This window comes from Homo sapiens, chromosome 8, assembly GCF_000001405.40.
Source record: "Homo sapiens chromosome 8, GRCh38.p14 Primary Assembly".
NCBI classification, from domain to species: Eukaryota; Metazoa; Chordata; class Mammalia; order Primates; family Hominidae; genus Homo; species Homo sapiens.
In genome coordinates this window covers 86,862,390-86,882,067 of record NC_000008.11, presented here as the reverse complement: position 1 = coordinate 86,882,067, position 19,678 = coordinate 86,862,390, and the positions used below count along the sequence as shown (strand labels likewise).

General features: G+C 35.8%; 1 protein-coding gene across 4 annotated transcripts in view; it reads right to left on the bottom strand.

The window, feature by feature from the left end:
• Positions 1-15,653, bottom strand: part of CNBD1 (cyclic nucleotide binding domain containing 1) — a 562,238-nt gene extending 546,585 nt beyond the window's left edge. For 3 of the 4 annotated variants that reach the window (NM_173538.3, XM_047421411.1, XM_024447082.2), the window contains exon 1: positions 15,485-15,653. In NM_173538.3, coding sequence (NP_775809.1) covers positions 15,485-15,572 — 88 coding nt within the window. In that variant the 5' untranslated portion in view covers positions 15,573-15,653. The remainder of the gene's footprint in view (positions 1-15,484) is intronic. The other variant, XM_017013149.2, reaches the window with a different exon arrangement.
• Between the last annotated feature and the right edge of the window lie 4,025 nt (positions 15,654-19,678).

Sequence of the window (19,678 nt, the reverse complement as noted above, 5' to 3'; positions counted from 1 at the left end):
TTGGAGTTTTACATTTAAATCTTTAATCCATATTAAGTTAATTATTGAATATAGTGTAAAAAAGGGGTCCACTTTCAATTTTCTGCTTATAGCTAGCCAGTTTTCCCAGTACCCAGTTTTCCCTATTCCCAGTATTGAATAGGGAATCTTTTTCCCATTACCTATTTTTGTCAGGCTTGTTGAAGATCAGATAGTTATAGATGTGTGGACTTATTTTTGGGTTCACTACTCTGTTCCATTGGTCTATGTGTCTGTTCTTGTACTGGTACCATGCTGTTTTGGTTACTGTAGCCCTGCAGTATAGTTTGAAGTCATGTAGAGTGATGGCTCCAGCTTTTTTCTTTTTGCTTAAGATTGCCTGGCTATTGAGGCTCTTTTTTGATTCTATATGAATTTTTAAATAGTTTTTTCTAATTTTGTGAAGAATGCGAATGGCAGTTTAATGGCAATAGCATTGAATCTATAAATTGCTTTGGGCAGATGGCCATTTTAATGATATTTATCTGTCCTATCTATGAGCATGGAATGGTTTTCCATTTGTTTGTGTCATTTCTGATTTATTTGAGCAGTTGTTTATAGTTCTCCTTGTAGAGATCTTTTACCTCCCTTGTTAGCTGTATTCCTAGGTATTTTATTCTTTCTGTGGCAATTGTTAATGGGAATTCACTCATGATTTGGCTCTCTGCTTGCCTGTTGTTGGCGTATAGGAATGCTAGCAATTTTTGCACATTGATTCTGTATCCTGAGACTTTGCTTATAAGCTTGAGAAGCTTTGGGATTGAGACAACAGGGTTTTCTAGATATAGAATTATGTCATCTGCAAACAGGGATAGTTTTACTTCCTCTCTTACTATTTGAATACCCTTTATTTCCTTCTCTTGCCTGATTGCCCTGGCCAGAACTTCCAATACTGTGTTGAATAGGAGTGGTGAGAGAGGGCATCCTTGTCTTGTGCTGGTATTCAAGAGGAATGCTGCCAGCTTTTGCCCATTCAGTATGATGTTGGCTGTGGGTTTTTCATATAGGGTTCTTATCATTTTGAGGTATGTTCCTTCAACATCTAGTTTATTGAGAGTTTTTAACATGAAGGGATGTTGAATTTTATCAAAAGCCTTTTTCTGCATCTATTGAGATAATCATGTGGTTTTTGTCTTTAGTTCTGTTTATGTGATGAATCATATTTCTTGATTTGCATATGTTGAACCAACCTTGCATCCCAGAGATGAAGCCTCCTTGATCATGGTGGATAAGCTTTTGATGTGCTGCTGGATTGGGTTTGCCGATATTTTGTTGAGGATTTTTTCATTGCTGTTCATAAAGGTTATTGGCCTGAAGTTTTCTCTTTTTGTTGTTGTATCTATAACCAATCTTGAGATCTTATTCTACCCTTTCCTCTTCAGGACCAAAGTGTTATAAAGACTGTCAATTCCATCTCTTTTGAAATATATCCTAAATATTTTCAAAATACAGTTGTCCATCAATATCCATGGGGTGTTGGTTCTAGGACACCTCTTTCACCCCTCCAGTACAAAAATCCATAGATGCTCAAGTCTTTCATATAAAATGGCATAATATTTTCAGATAACCTATGCACATCTTCCCATATAGTATAAATCTTCTCTAGATCACTTTTAATACCTAATACAATATAAATCCTATTTAAATAGTGTTATACTGTATTGTTTTGTATTTTATGTTATTTTTATTGTAGTATTACGTTTTTTTTTATTTTTTCTAATATGTTCGATCCCAAGTTGGTTGAGTCTGCACAGGGAAACCTCAGAAACAAAAGACTGACTGTGTGTCTCCTGTAATCCCAATGACAATAAGGATCGTTAATCAGAAGTCACCAAGTAGGGCTGTGTGACATGTACATTGTGAAGTAGTATTATTCACATGCTTGCCACAGCTCAATATCTTATTTCAGGTTCTCTTTGAATCTCATCTGTAATACTACAATAATGGCCTAACTAATGTCCCTGAGTTCAGCTTCTTCCTCCCCAACACATCCTCCAGTCTACTCTCACAGTACTTTCTAAAATTCTAATGTGATTGTTAAACTTTCTTGCTTTAAATCCCTTTGTATGTAATACATTCTTTTTATAATTGTACCTAAATTAACTTCTGTGACCTCATTGAACACCACCCTCTAAGTTCCTCCCCCATTCTCTCCGTCTTTCTTTTTTCCTTTTTTTTTTGACGGACTCTCGCTCTGTCGCCCAGGCTGGAGTGCAGTGGCACAATCTCGGCTCACTGCAACCTCCGCCTCCTGGGTTAACGTCATTCTCCTGCCTCAGTCTCCCGAGCAGCTGGGACTACAGGCGCCCGCCACCATGTCCAGCTAATTTTTTTGTATTTTTAATAGAGAGAGGGTTTCACCATGTTAGCCAGGATAGTCTCGATCTCCTGACCTCATGATCCACCCGCCTTGGCCTCCCAAAGTGCTGGAATTACAGGCATGAGCCACAGCACCTGCCCTCATTCTCGCCATCTTTCAACAACGCATGTTCTGGGTGCTCCATGAACATATCTTGTCTTTTTGATATTATATTCTCTTTGGATCATTACTCAACTTAAAAAACTCATCCATACTTTTAGATCCACCTCAGAAATTAACCAGTGACACTTTTTGAAACTCGTCTTCCATAGAAAAAGGTAAATGTCTTTTCCATTGTGCTCTTACAGCACCACAAGAATAGTTGCACTAAAGCAAATAATATCTTTCTTTATGACTTTTTAATTTATATCTATGTTTCTTCAGATTTATGATGCTCCCCTTAGAACAGGGTCCATTTTCTATTCATCTTGAACCAAAACACTAGAACTTATCATAATGATTGGATTTAAATAATATTTAGTAAATTATAATGAATAAATAATAATAATGTGACTCTAATTTGTCAGGTGAGAATCAGTTGTATGCAATGAAAATCAAATCAAGAAAAAATAACAAAGACAGATAAGTGGAAGTAAAAATGTTATTAAAGGAATACTTTCAAAAATCTAAAAACACCCTGCTTCTTGCAGAAGATCATATTTTAATTATTTTATCTCCCATCTACATGAGATTGAACATCAAGTCAATGTCATTTTTTTGGCATTAAAAATCTATTCATCATGACAAACAGCCCACTAAATAACATAAAGAGTAAAACATAAAAGTTAGAGGAAGAAGCCTGATCTTCAGTAAAACTGAGGATTAACCATATTTTCTAACTATGAATTCTGAATAATATCAACCAAATAGTGAAACATCAATAAACTGTAAAAGAGGTACAAGAGAAAATGCATACTGGTCTTGTTTGAGGAAATAGGAAGAGTTCTCCAGGGGAAGCTGATACAGCTCTGAAGGATGCAGCCACTAAACCTTACTTGAAATGGGAAGATGTTCAGACATGGACAGACTAAGGGGATATCCTTGAACCAGTGACATTCATGAAAGGCGGGGTTAAACAACGGTTCCACATAACACTCATTTTTTTTTTTTTTTCAGAATAAAGTTGTGATAATACAGAGGACAATGTTAAGTGGCAATCAACATAGAAGCAGCTGATCTCAGTCACTGAAAAGAAATAGATCATGGCCAAATAACTACACAGAACCTTTGGAATTTAAACGATGACAGCACAAATTAGGAGCATATTGTTTAGGGAAGAGAACAGAACAAAGTTGATGAAAAGTGTTCAACATTAACATACAAGAAAATTCAATCTGTCTGCTGAACTAGTGCACTCTCCACCACCATTTATTTTCTAACAAGTAATCTATCTTCAAAAAATAACCACTATTTAATAATCCTGGAACCTAAGCACAATATGCTCTAAGGGAAAAGGTAAAAATGATTAATTTATAATAGCAAATAAAAATCAAATAGTATGCAGTATGCACTAGAATAATAATTATGCCAGGAAATAAGCAAAAATCTGTGCTTCTCCGTCTCTCTCTCTCTCTCTCTCTCTCTCACACACACACACACACACACACACAGCTTTGATGAAAGAAAAACAAAATTACATGGCATTAACCATAAATAGGAAAACAGAAAGAAATTACAAGCAGGCAATATTCAGGAAATAAGAGGAAGATAAAATAATGACAGAAATAAAATCCACATGGGAAACTGCAAAAATGACAAAGATTTAAGAAAATATAGCCATAGACACAGAGGCTAACACATTCAAATAAATAGGAAACACATAAAGAAAGGAGAAAATAACAAATGAAAATAGGGAGCAGATACTATATGTAAAAATGATTTCTGAGTAAGCAAACAGAAATAAGAGTAGACAAAAAATGCTCAAAGATATAATGCAATAATACTTTTCTTATATAAACACTTGAATCTGGAGAATTAAATATAATACGATGACCCAGAAAGGCAAAGAGAAATCATGATACATGATTTACAAAAAGATTAGATGTTCTAGGTGTTACTCGATTAGCAGCTAATTGTTACCATATTTCAAAGATAAAGAATTATTTTAGCAGCAAGCCAAAAGAGGAAGCCTTCTCCAAGTGTGAAAAACTTTGGTCACAGACTTCTCCACAGCAATGTCCTGGCAAAGAGTAGGGCAACCTCAGGGAAGAAAAAAATGTGACTCATGAATTTTATTCCCCAACTAATAAATATGAAACCTCAGAGATATTATTTGGATATCAAATTTCGCCTAGTAAGCACTGGGTGAAGAAATCACATACCCATACAACTAAGACTTAAATAGGATGCAAAATGTACTAATAAAGTGTAGGCAAATTTTGTAAACATTAACATAAATAACTTATTCATAGATTATAATGGAGATAGTATAAATAATGAGTAACAAATGTGAAGTTTCAGCAGAGGAGAAAATGTAATATATATCTGTACATATTCCCTTACAAAGTAGATAATTAATAGTTACAGTTTAAGAAATATTAAAAATAATATTTAATAACATTTAAAGATATGAATATAACTGACCAAAGACTTAAATATTTGTTGCAACAAAATCAACATGTGAAGAGGGAAATTTTTCTCATTTCATACTAGGTTATAAATATGCATTTTCTAAAGTTGATAAATCAAGAAATAGACATTTGATTTAGGTATAGAATCAAACTATTAAACATTTTTGTTCTCAGATTATATACCATCAAAATTCATAAAGCAAAAATTGCAGGTATAAATGGAGGCAAAATAAACCCCAATAACTTCCCTTTGTTGTCAAACAAAAATCAAATAGGAAATGAATCACTAAGGATGTAGATTTTACATATATTAATCATGTACCAAATTTTATTCTTAAATCAAAAGAGGATATTAAAACTAAAACTATAAAATATAAAGTAAAAATAGTGAAGCCTTTCATGAACCTATGGAATATAGTTAAAATATGTATTTCTCTGAAGAAAAAAATGACTGATATTACAAGAAGATAGAATAAAATAAAAAATTAGCTTTTAACTCAAGTAGTACAAGAAAATTAAAATACATAAGAAAAATGGAAAGGAGAAAACAAAGAAAAGCAATGAATAAATTTATAAAACAGAAAAAATATAGAAAGTAAAAATCAAGAGCTGGTTCTTTGGAAAGGAAAAAGTAAACCACAGGCATATCTAAACAAAAAGAATAGCTTAAGTACTCAACATAAGAAAACTGGGAACTAACTAACAGTATATATCATTAAAAAGAAATCAGAAAAGAAGGTTTTACACAAAGATGTAAGGTCAAAAAAACTGAAACTAAACAAAAATGATTTTTTAAGGAAAATGTATATTACTTATATTTGACATTAGAAAAAAGAGAAAAGCCTAAGTAAATTAATTGCCTTGAAAAAAATGGGGAATAATCTCAAAGCAGTTTTCCTCCACCACAAACACACACACACACACACACACACACACAAACACACACACACAGGTATCAAACAAGGCATTATCACAGTGGATTCCATCAAATCTTCATGGAAGAGACAATACATATGCTTGTTAAATATTGAAACATAGAAAAGCTTTCAAATTTATTTGATGAAGCAAGCAAAACAATTAGATGCAAATATGACAAAACATGAAAAAGGAAACCAGAGATTAATCTCACAAATACACATGAATATTTTCCAAAAATATATACGAGGGTATAGTGCCCGGCAACATATTAACAAAGATCATACAACAAAGTAAGATTTATCCAAATAATCAAAGAAAATTCAATTAGAGAATATAGCAATATAATTTTCCACAATAAGTTGAAATTTTTAAAATTATAATCTCCCTAAATACAGAAAAAGTATCCAGTAAAATTCAACATAGTTCTTAGCAGCTTAAATTGAAAAAAGTTTATTTTTTTTAAGCTGGTAAGTAGATCAAACCAAAAGACAGAATCATGTTTAATGTTGAAACACCAGAGGCAATAGCAATAAATTCAGGAACGAGATAAAGATATATACTAGTGCTACAAATTTCTGAAAGTACCAAAGGACACAATTTAATAAAAGAAATGCACAAGATTTAGAAATTAGAAAGAAAGATACAAATCAGTGTTTGCTATTATTGTAATTATATAGATTTAAAAAAAGTACATAGACCAGAAACCCATTAGAGTACTTGCCAAAGTGGCTTATTCCAGAAGTAACTAATTCAATAGCTTGCCTTTTTCCTCGAACAGTGAGTCCTAAAACCAATGTGACAGCAGCAGATGGTAGACATCTATACCAGGAGTAGGTAGGGTGAAAGGTAAGGTATCACAGCATCCAAGACCAGGGTGTGGAGGGCATCCACATTAAGGTGGGACTGTGCAGAGTCTCAGAACAACCAGGTAAGGAGGACAGCTGCGAGGTGTGAGACAGAGGGAGTGTCCCAGAGCTAAATGTCAGAATGGATGGCAGTGAATATGGAAGATAGATTACAAACAAGGAAACTACTCAAAAGTGTTATGTTAAAGCTAATAGGAGAAAGCTTTATCACTTCAGAGATGGGAGTTAGAAATACAGAAAGGGAGAAGATAAGAATGAGCCTGTGGTGCTGCATTAGGATTAAAGAAATCAGTGTAAACTCACAATTTTTAATACATATATATATATATATATATATATATATATATATAAATTGATTTACAAACAAATATAAATGTGAATTTGTATTCCCTAGATCTGTCCACTGAGAGGGCCTGGGAGTAATGGCATCCTAAGATCAATGATGCACAGAGCACCCAGATCTTAAATTTTCATTAAAACAAAACAGGGCTCTTAGGGAAAATGTCTGATTCCAGGGATAAGACAAAGAAAGTATGAAAAGAGCTTGAAAAATCCCATTGTGTCAGAAGCAAAGAAATGCTCAAACCAACTTGAAGTGGCTCCCACTGTCCAAACTATGAACAATGTGATCAAAATATATAATAAAAATAACTCCTTAAAACTCTTTGAATAAAATAGAAACCCCAGAGTTCCTATATTTAATTTTTATTTTTTAACCCAAATAAAGAACGGTCAATGTATTTAATTTAATATTTCATGAGAAATGGAATATTTATACACCTTAAAATACATCTTCACAAAACATATTAATTTAAAAAGAGAAAAGAGTACATTTACAACTGGAAAGCTCTCTATGTAATACCTTAATCATTATTAAAGTGAATATCATCAAGAGTGGGGCAAACTGAGATCATATGGCCCCTGATAAGATGGAAGGAGAACATGAAATAACTCCTGTGATATTGCTGACAAAGATGTCTACCTCAAATCTAATCATGAGGAAATATCAAACAAACCAAATTGAAAGATATTCTACAAAATAACTGCTTTGTTGTCTCCCAGTATCAAGGTCATGAAAGTCAAGGAAAACTGAGAAACTATTCCAGACTGAAAGAATTGAAGAGACAAGACAGCAAGATCCTAAAGAGTCAAAGCAATCTGAAGAAAAAAGAACAAAGCTAAAACTATCACACTGTCTGATTTCAAAATACAAAGCTATCATAACAGTATGGTGCTGGCATAAAACAGACACATTGACCAGAAAAACATGAGATTTTGAATTGGATTGTTTTACTAGAAAGGACATTATCAGAACAACTGACCAAATTTGAATGGGGTCCAAGGATTAGATTACAGTAATGTATCAATGTTAATTTTCCTGATCTTGATAGTTGTATTGTAATTATGTAACAATGTTTTTTTAAAAATACACACTGAAATATGGGGATGACGGAATGTCAAATTGCTCTAGAAAAATAAGTTCCTTTAATCTGAACTTCCAACATCTGTAAGATTATGATTATTTCAAAAGCTTTTTAAAAATTTAAATTTAATATTTCTCACATACTGACTTTACAGTTAGAAAAAGATATCATTCATAATAGAAAAAAGATAAAATACCCAGGAATAAATTTTATTTAGTGGCATGCAAGAACACTTACATAAATTCAAGGGGAAGATTTATTTACTTATGGATTTGTTTTTTGGTAGAAACAGGGTCTCACTATGTTGCCAAGGCTAGTCTCAAACTCCTGGCCTCCAGGGATCCTCCCATCTCAGCCTCCCAAAGTGCTGGGATTACAGGTGTGAGCCATTCAGCCTGAGAAGTAGGAAGACTGAGCATTGTAAAGATACCAGTTATTGAGTAGGAAGACTCAATATTATAAATATGTCAATTCTCCACAAATTAATCCTTTTTTAAAAAAAACAGGGTCTTGGCCAGGTGTGGTGGCTCACACCTGTAATCCTAGCACTTTGGGAGGCCGAGGCGGGCAGATCACCCGAGGTTGGGAGTTTGAGACAAGCCTGATCAACAGGGAGAAACCCCGTCTCTACTAAAAATACAAAATTAGCCGGGTGTGGTGGCGCATGCCTGTAATCCCAGCTACCTGGGAGGCTGAGGCAGGTGAATCTCTTGAACCCGGGAGGCAGAAGTTACGGTGAACCAAGATCGTGCCACTGCACTCCAGTCTGGGCAACAAGAGTGAAACTCCATCTCAAAAAAAAAAAAAAACTAAAACAACAACAACAACAACAACAAAAACAGGGCCTTGTGCTGTTGCTCAGGCTGGAGTGCAGTAGCATGATCGTAGCTTACTGAAATTCACCTCAAATTCCTGGGCTCAAGCGATCCTCCTGCCTCAGCTTTCTCATATACACAGGGAACAAAAGTCAATGTAGATAAATGAGATTACATCACTCTACAAAGCTTCTGCACAGAAAAGGAAACAACAGAGTGAAGAGACAACCCACAGAATGGAGACTATATTTGCAAATTATACCTATGATAAGGGGGTAATATCCAAAATATATAGGGAACTCAAACAATTCAGTAACAAGCAAACACATAGTCCAACTTGAAAAATGGGCAAAGGGCCTGAACAGACATTTTTCAGAATAAGACCCATGAATGGCCAACAAAAAAAAGTCAATATCTCTAATCATCAGGGAAATACAAATTAAATCCACAGCGAGATACCACTCCGTACCTGTTAACATGGCTACTATCAAAAATCTAAAGATAAGTGTTAGAGAGAAAGTGGAGGAAAGGGAACCCTGATATACTGTTGGTGAGAATGTAAATTAATATAGTCATTTTGGAAAGCAGTATGAAAGTTCCTCAAAATATTAACAATAGAATTACCATATGATCCAATAATCCTACTTCTGCCTCTATAGTGACTACATAAAAATTTTATAAATGTGATTATATAAAATGTGATTATAATTAATAAATACAAATACATTAAAATAGTATATATAATTTCTTCATACTGGAAAAGCCAGGAGAGTCTTTGTGGAGATTAAAGTAATTTAGGAAAACTCTGAAGAACTGAAATGATAAGAACAAATAAAGGAAGAGCAAAGGGAACCCCAAACACAGGAAACATGAGCTAAGGCATGACAATATGGTGAAGATTATGATGGTGTAATTAAGGGAATATTTTTCCTGTCAGCATGATAACTCTCCAGCTCTGTTCCTTATAGGCCAGATTAAGGTAGAGTTAACAGTGTTGCTAGGCAACATTGCTTATGATAACAATGATCTTGGATTGATGACTTGCATTTGGACTAGAAAGCACTACAGATGATGTACGAATACCTGATGAGCAGTCACTGAAATGAGCTACGCTGAGTACTTTAACTCTAGTAATTGAGAGATTTCTTACAGGAAACTTGGAAGAAGTGCCTTTGGAATTTTTATTAAAAACGATGGTTTATGAGGGTTTTAAGCCAGGGCAATTCAGCATCTGCCCTATGTGACTCTCACTACCTTGAACCTGAGCTACTATATAGGTGGCCAAAGAGGGCTGGCTGTGTGGGATGCAGCCTAGGCATCTGGGGACTTCTTCCACAGAAGGGGAACCCCTAACAGTGTCCTTATGGAAAGCTGTAACTTTACATATTTGCCAAGTGTGTCCATCTGAATGTTTAACCTTTGAAATCTTCCTGTACCTCTAATCAGTATTGGCAGATAGGCTTAAGGAATAACAAAGTGTTTTAGCTGTAGTGGAGAGTTACATAGATGGAAGAATGAGATCTAGAACACAAGAGACAGATTTTAGCTTAATCATGAAAGATTTAAATGCCAGATTGTGGAAAATAGATTGTAATGTAAGTTTTAAAGGAGAGTAGGACCCTGACAGCTTTTGAGTGTAGAGTTAAAGTTATCAAAAAGTTTAATCGTCCTATCAGACAAGTAAATCTAGTTCACAGTATATGTTGGAAGGAAGACCAGAGATCAGTTCTGTGAAAGATGCTGGAGGACCAGCATCTTCAGTTGTCTGAAGGATTGGTAACATGGAACTAATAACAGGACTAATCTCTGATATAGGCAGATAGAGCAGTAGCCTGAGACTCAGAGGAGACCTAGCCTGACATCTAGTGGAGATGTGATTTGCAAGGCACTGCAATTTACTTCACCATTTCCTGTTTCCTGCCTGAAGTCCCAGGTACCATCAAGCTCACATTTAAGTTCCCATAGCTTAATTTCTAAACGCCACTCAAAATGGTTTGACAAAAAGTACATCAAAATAGTTATAACAGTAGTAGGAAAAAAATACTAAATGTTTGCTTTACAATAAAACATCCATCTTTTCTCCTTGGGATTAAAAATTTGACTTTTATCCTAAAAAATTAAGGTGAGGAAAAAAATTTTTCAATACTTCTGAATTTTATGATGGCACATTCCATTGGGACTATCATTGATTATATAGACACAGAAATGGACACAAACATTCAACCTTTTTCCCACCTTTTACTCCTTCTTGGAATTTTCATTCTTATTTATTTTAGTTCTTTCTTTTCCTTAAACTTGGTTTCTTTATACATTATACAACCCACTTCCCTGTTTTTCTTCGTCACTGACAAGCCTCCTTTTTTTCTTACCTGCATTCCTAGGATTTGAATGGTTTAAAACTTTTAAATGGTACAATATTCACTTTTTCAAATATATACCTTTAATCCTTGGCTACCAAAGAACTGAAAAACTCTCAAATTATAGAAAACGCCTTTGAACGCTTAGGAATGATGACACAGTGTTTTCAGATTTGCAGTAAATGTAAAGCCATAAAATGAAAAAGAGCGAAGAAAAACATTCGCTTAAGAGTACTATCGTGTTGGCCAGGCGCGGTGGCTCACATCTGTAATCCCAGCACTTTGAGAGGCCGAGGCGGGTGGATCACGAGGTCAGGAGATCGAGACCATTCTGGCCAACACGGTGAAAGCCCGTCTCTACTAAAAAAATACAAAAAAATTAGCCAGGCGTGGCTGCGACTAACATATACTGTAGTCCCAGATATTCAGGAGACTGAGGCAGGAGAATGGCGTGAACTCAGGAGGCAGAGTTTGCAGTGAAATGAAATCACGCCACTGCACTCCAGCCTGGGCGACAGAGCGAGATTCCGTCTCAGAAAAAAAAAAAAAAAGAGTACTATCTTGTTTCTAAATTTCTTGATGTGTCTCTGGTCTTATCTTGAATGCTTTTTTTTTTCCAACTCATATGTTGGAATAAATGAAAGATACCTAGAAATGTCTGGTGAATTAAAACATTTTTGGAACTGGAAAAGCACAGAAATTTTTTTTTCAAGTCAACCAGTAGTCAAAATGTAAAGCATATTTTTAAACCCATTCTTCCTCAGAAGAATAAGCCTAATTAGTGTGAAGAAAATAGAGTAGCAGCAAATTTATCCCAACAAAGGAAGTTAACTGGACCATAAACCAAACGGTGAAGGACAGCTTCTTGCCTTCCATTAAAAATTTTTTAAAATAAGAATTTTTTTTTCTTTTTTTCTATCTCTTCAGGAAATCAACTTATAAAAATAATGGGTCATGTGTGTACTTAAACCAGATGCCATTTCACTTAGGTGGTAAAACTGTACAGTTTGTTAGCTATGATGTTTTTAAAATAATTCTCATCCAGAATGAAAAGTGGAACAGCTCTTCTGCTTTTGAGAACATTCATTCCTCCCTTAAGGTTAGCAAACTGTGAAGAATCCTGAGACAGAAGTCAAAGAGACCAGAGAAGGAAAAGACTTGAAAGTTTCAAAGAAGAAAGAACCACAAGCAGCAAACTAGCTCAAGAAGCTTAACTACTTGAAGTGTCTGAGTCTGAATTTCAGAGTCAACAAGATAGCAGTGGAGGAGGGTTTGAAGATGTGTGACATGTTGCCTCCCATATATTAATAGCATTTAAGTAGCCAAATGGGCAAGAAATTCAGGGCAGGAGGTAAGGGGCAACCCGGAATGCTGCCAGCTTTGTTGTTGTTGTGAGTAGAGTTTGTTTACACAGATGACGCTACGAGGAGCCTCTGCTACTTAACATCTGTGTGAACCTTAGTATGAAACCTAAGCCTTATTATCCTTAAGTGTAAACTGGAACACGTATTAATTTTATATTGCTGCTGTAAAAGATTGCCACTGCCTTAGTGGCTTAAAAAAATAAAAACGTATTATCTAACAGTTCTGGAAATGAGAACTCTGAACCTGATTTCACTGGGCTAAAATCACATCAGCAGGACTGCAATTCTTCTGGAGACGCTAGGGGAGAATCCATTTCTTTGCCTTTCCCTGCTTCTAGAGGCTGCCTGAATTCCTTGGCTTTTGTCCCCCCTCCATCTTCAAAGCCAGCAAGGGCCAGTCGAGTCTTTCTCACATATCATTCTGACTCTCTCGCCTTCCTCTTTTGCTTATAAGGGCTCTCACAATTGTGGCTGGTACCCAGACAAACCGGAATATTCTCCCATCTCAAGTGGAGCCAATTAGCTGCTTTAATTGCATGTGCAGCCTCAATTCCCCCTAACATGTAGTATAACCTATTCATAAGTTTTGTGAATTAAGGCATGGATATCACTGGGACCGTTAATTCTGTCCACCGAAGACATAGAGTTCTTGTAAGAAATACATGAAATAACATAACGTGCTAAATGTTTACATACTAACTACAGAAAGCACTCAATTAACAATATTCACATATAAATACAGACAGCCGGGGCGTGGTAGCTCACGCCTGTAAATCCTAGCACTTTGGGAGGCTGAGGGGGGCAGATCACGAGGTGAGGAGATAGAGACCAGCCTGGCCAACACAGTGAAACCCCATCTCTACTAAAAATACAAAAATTAGCCAGGCACACCTGTAGTCCCAGCTACTCAAGAGGCTGAGGCAGGATAATCGCTTGAACCCAGGAGGCGGAGGTTGTGGTGAGCTGAGATCGTGCCACTGCACTCCAGCCTGGGCAACAGAGCAAGACTTCATCTCAAAAATAAATAAAAATGAATAAATAAATAAATAAATACTTACAGAGAAGGTGAATATGAGTCACTAAATCCAACCTAACTCAACAAATACAAAGTATCAAGGATGTATACAATGGCTGGATTTTCTTTTTAGGTATGTAAATGTGCATTCCTATTTATGCCCACTGCATTTAAAACTCATTTATATATCCTTTGTAATTCAGGTTCAGTCATTTCATAAATTGAAAGCATTCATTACACATTGGCTTCCATGAGATCATTGTTTCAGCAGTGAGACAATCAGTGCTTGCTAAGGAAAATTATTGTCTTGCTACAGTTAGCAAAAAGACACAGTTATTAAGGCAAGCAGGGCACGTCCTCAAAGAGAAGTTGCAGACATAGAAACATCAAGTGCGAACCTCTAAAGGAACACTGGGAGCTCCACCGCTTTCCATTATGCTCTATTCAGTTCTGAGATCTAAATTGCTGCTGATTTTTCGTCTTTTAATCACTTCACAGAAGTTAAGTGTCCTTGGGAGGCACTACAGAGGGTAGCACAAATCTCATCTCATTGATTCTAAATTAATTTGATCTTTTAACTCCCAGCTACCGAGTTTCCTGGGCTTTTTAAAAATATTATTTTATGGTGACTTTTATTTTCTTTTTCACAAATAAAACATGAATAGTAGAAGCTGTGTTTCTTCAGCAAAATTGCACTTAATTCTTATTTCCACTCAAGTAGAAATAGAAAACTTTGACCAGATGCAAGATTATTTTCACTATAATACAAATGGAATTAATTTTGTTTAACATAAGGATTTTGTCTAACACTATTCAAGACATCAGTGTACCCCTTCAAGGAGTATCAACTGCCACCTGTTATACCTTTTAACCTGGAGACTATGAGCATTAATTTTTTAAAATGTATTTGGAGAAATTAACTTTCACAGGAAGGGAAAAGGATGGATGGCTTAGCTTCTTCAAATCAATACTATAAATCTGCCCAATGAATAATAAAATAAGAGTTAATGCTTTATTGAAGTTGAAAAGGATCACAAGTATTACCTTTGTTATCCAGATATTTTTTAAAAATCTTAACTAACACTGGAACTCATACATATTGCTAGTCAGAATGATGGTGTTCAAATAATAGATCTTATAAATTCGATGGCCATGAGAAGTGTTTACAATCTTAAGAAAACGTTATAGGTTTAGACTAATTACATAAAATGAGAAAATACTGTCAATTATATAAACTTTGAAATATCTAGTTCTATACTTAATTCTTATAAGTAAGACTAGAAAATAAAAAAGTTAAATAGGAATAAATTTCACAGTCAGAATAGTAGGAATTATCTTTTTTTCCTTGTCAAATTGAAATGAGAATTCTCCTAGAGAATATTAAGTATTAATTATCCCATTAAGCGTAGTAGGACCAACTCTTGGTAGGGAGTAGAAGATCTGCTAGAAAAAGGAACCTGATAGCTGGTGGAACATGTGGCCTCTCTAAATCTTTGTTTTCTTTCATCTTTAGAAATATTTCAATGTATCTGAAGCTCTAAGAGTTCGTAAAGATCCTCATTTTACAGAGAAAAAATACTTAAGACCTAGAGTACTGAAATGACTTCAAGTAGACCAAGCAGGATTTACACATCTATGTTCTTTCCATTCTTCAGCACTGTCAATAAGATTCCCAATGTCCCTATCAACCCTGAAATACCCCCAATTTTCATAGCTGGGGTAAGAACCGCTGAAAACAATGGTAGGTGAATAAGAGCATCAAAGTATTTCCCACTCACTTGGTATACTGTGAAGTGGAGGAGGAGGCACATTGTTAATAGCTGTCATGTGAGACAAAATAGCTGCTGGAAGAGAAGACATCGGCATCTTGATGGCTCAAAGGCAGATAGATGACCAGAGGCTGCTTGAGAGGCAAATGATCACTCTTTGCCTGCAGGCTCATAAAGCAGAACTTCAAGGTCCTCTCTGATAGGTTGAATCCTACGGAATCTTCTTGTTCATAGTTCTTATCCATTGTTTGTGCATTTCCAAGAGTGTCATCTAGACCAGGAAGAACTATGCTACATTTTAGTCCAGTGGAAATCATAAGGAGGACTTTATGAGCTATAGAGAGTAGCAATAATGAAGAAGGAAACTGTAGCCCACAAGGCTGATACAGCAGAATCAACAGCACTCATGAGTCTAGGTGAAATGAAAGTATTCACTTCCTTGGTCTTCCATAGTCCAGAGCCCTTTTCCTGCCTACCAAATGTTTACACTGGGTATCACAGGCCCTTTCTGTACCAGCAGTAACAGAGATAGCATATTTATACTGTTCTTCATGGCCACATTTATAGGGTAAACCATCCCTTCTAATTATCATACACCAATAAACCCACCCCAGCTTACATTTAACTATATTCTGCTAGAGTGTGGAACATGTTTTTTTGTTATTTTCTGCTGCTTCACAATAATTAAGGATAGTTACAATGGCTAGGGTTTACAATCCTAACTAATGTATCTTTTGATGCTGTGTATTATCTTCCAAGGCCTTTAGAAATAGGGTCCTGGTATCATAACTGTTAGAGTGATACGGACAGGAGACAGGGAAACACTGGGTAGAAGAGGGCAGTTCCCCAGTAAAGGCCCCACCCTCAAGCCTGGAGACCTGCGGCCCTAGATTGGGACAGGCATTCCTGTTTTTGCACCTAAAAAGTTGCCTTTTGGCCTGCAACACACCCTATCCTGTACCCATATAAACCCTGAATCCCAGGCTCCAGAAGCAGACGAAGAGATGAGACAAATAGATGAATGGCAGAATGACAGGCAGAGAAAGTGAGAAAAGGAGGAACATCTGAACACTGAGAGGAGTTCAGCCACTGTACGGCCAAACTCCAGGGGAAGATCATTTTCCCACTCCATCCCCCTTCCAGCTCCCCATCCATCCTGCTGAGAGCCACCTCCACCACTCAATAAAACCCTGAGTTCTTCCTTCAAGCCCATGTGTGACCCAGTACTTCTGGGATGCTGGGCAAGAATTCAGGATACAGAAAGCTATCACACTGGCCCTCTACCCTTGTGAAAAGGCAGAGGGTCCATTGAGCTTGTTAACATCAAGCCATCCATGGAGGGTAGGGCTACAAGGGCACACTGCAACACAATGCCCACTTGGGCTCCTGCACCTGTCCGTCTGTGTGCTCCCCCTCCCCACAGGGTTTGAGCAGCAGCGATGACCAACCAAGCAGGCAAACCACAGCCCTGTCACACATTCTGTGAGGGGAATCAGGGAACTCCCCCATTTCATCAGGTAATATACAAAAGGACTGTGGCTGTCTGATACCTGAACTGGACTAGCAGAGTGTAAACCAACCATTTCTGGAGCAACTTCATCTAGATAACATTAATAACTAGAATAGAAAACATTAATTATGTTACAAAAGTAACAAATTTATTTTGCAACAGTTTCTATTAAATTATATCTGCACAATAAATTTACTCAGGTTATAACTTTTCAATTGAATGTATTTTCCTATTTCCAGTTTTACAAACTCCAAACTCACCATAGACTCAATTTTGTTGTTGAGTCTCATCACTATTGTTTTTTTTTTTTCTGGAGACCAAGTCTCACTCTGTCACCCAGGCTGGAGTGCAGTGGCTCAATTCTGACTCATTCCAACCTCCACCTCCCGGGTTCAAGTGATTCTCCTGCCTCAGCCTCCCGGGTAGCTGGGATTACAGGCAGGTGCCACCACGCCCAGCTGATTTTGTATATTTAGTAGAGACACGGTTTCACCATGTTAGCCAGGCTGATCTTGAACTCCCGACCTCTGGTGATCTGCCTGCCTTGGTCTCCCAAAGTGCTAGGATTACAGGCATGAACCACCACACCCGGCCACATCACTATTCTTCATCTTGCATTCCTTCCACACTAGCCACCTGCCTAGCTCCCACTTCAGAATGGTTCCTTGCCATTCCAACTGTCCCCTTGTTGGTAATCCCTACTGCCATCATTCCACAGGTTTTCTAGATCCATTCTCTTCCTAGTCGCACATTTAAAACCCAAAGAAATGAAGACGTGAATTTTTCATGGATGTTAAGCAGAAGGGACTATATAAAATGCTTTTTTTCTCTGACGAACAGTTCTAATCAAACAAATGTAAGAGAGGAAGTTTCCTAAGGCCCTAAAATTGTGATGACCGATTTCCTCTCTGATTCCAAGTTAGCAGTTCTTATTTTTATTTATTTTCTAGTTATCTTCCTGCTTTTCCATATTTTCACCTTTCTCTTTTCTGTATTTCATATGTAATAAACTTTACACACTGAATGCCATATAATATCGTAGTTCATATCAACCTGGACCTTGCTTGAAAATAATTTTAAAGAAAAAATGAGAAGTGACAATGCAAGTAAACAAGAACATTAAGGAGTAAATAGCAAAATAAACAACTAAAATAGCTTACTGAATTTTATCTAAGTCTCTGTAATATTCATAATTGCGTGTGAGCATCTGCTAGTACCTGCTGATATATGTCCAGAGAAAATCCATCAAATCACAAATTCAGCTCTCCTAAATGTTTTTTGCTAGGCTTTTCAATGTATTCTGAATTCTTTTGAAATTCATTCAAAGAATAATAACATAATCACACAATTTGTCTTTGAGAGATAGCTGTATTACATTGTTTACCAATGCCTGGACAGTAAAGTCTAATTGTTTCCCAACCACTTACTTACAAAATTATCTTGGAGAAGTCACTTAATCCACCTTGGCCTCAATATCCTGATCTATGCAGGGGTAATGATAATACCTCATACAAATATTATGAATATTAAATAATGAAAAAAGGTCCTAGCACAGTACCTATAGTAATAACTCCATTTTTATTAGTAATATTACTATTGCTGAAGTAAACTTTGAAAAACTCATATGGATTAAATATTTTTAATACTTTAGTAAAAGACAAAAAGATAAAGTCATTCTGAAGAGAAACCAGAGCATAAATATTTTTAATACTTTAAATATTTTTTTAAAAGTATATTTAATATGAGTTCCATTTATTCCTGCTACACAGTCACCAGTAGTATATTACAGGTTCATTTTTCAGGATGTACCTTAAGTATTCATTCTGTATTGCAAAAACCAATAATAATAATAACGAAATTTACCATGACACTATTTCTAGATACTATTCTAGTGTCTATTAACATTTCTAGACACTATTAACATATTTAATATATCAAATATGCCCTATTTTGATTTTGAGTGTTTAATTCTGGTATTATATTTTTAACTCTATTTATTAGAAAAGATATGTCAAATTAAGATAACTGGCATAATTTTATTAAGAGATCTCAAAAGATTTTCCAAAACAATGTCCCTGTTGGTCTGAAGATACACAAGTATAACATATGTTATACCCAAGTCATTTCACTGGATAAATGTTAACTAAGCATAGTTCCAATGCTTTTATAACCCGTAGCTGATGCATGTAATGTTTAAATGGCAAAGCCCAAAGAGACAACAAGCAAAAGTCCAAAACTTCTCCTGAGCACTGGCAGATAGGCTCTCAGGAGACATATCCCAGAAGATATTTCAGAATCCTAAAACTGTGGAAATCTATTAATAGGAAACAATCTCACAATATAATCAATACAGATGGAGTAAGGTAAATTTAGATCATTCTGGGGTCTGCAGGAGAAAAAAAGGGTATAAAATGGAGGCTTTTAGTTTGTTGAAGTTGTACACACTGCAGTTTTAGTTTGTGAAGTAGGGTAGACAAGTTGAGATACTTTTTAGAAATAATATAAAAGACAGGTCAGCCTAGAGAATAAGGAGTAGGAGAAGAGAGTGAGAGAAAAAGTGGGCAGTAATCATAGACAGGCTTTTAGGGGAAGAAACAAATTATTTGGAGAGGATTTCTAGCGATTTTTGCAATATAAAAAATCACTCCATCACTCCAAAAATATAGATTTTTTTCAGTAAAAATTAAATGTTA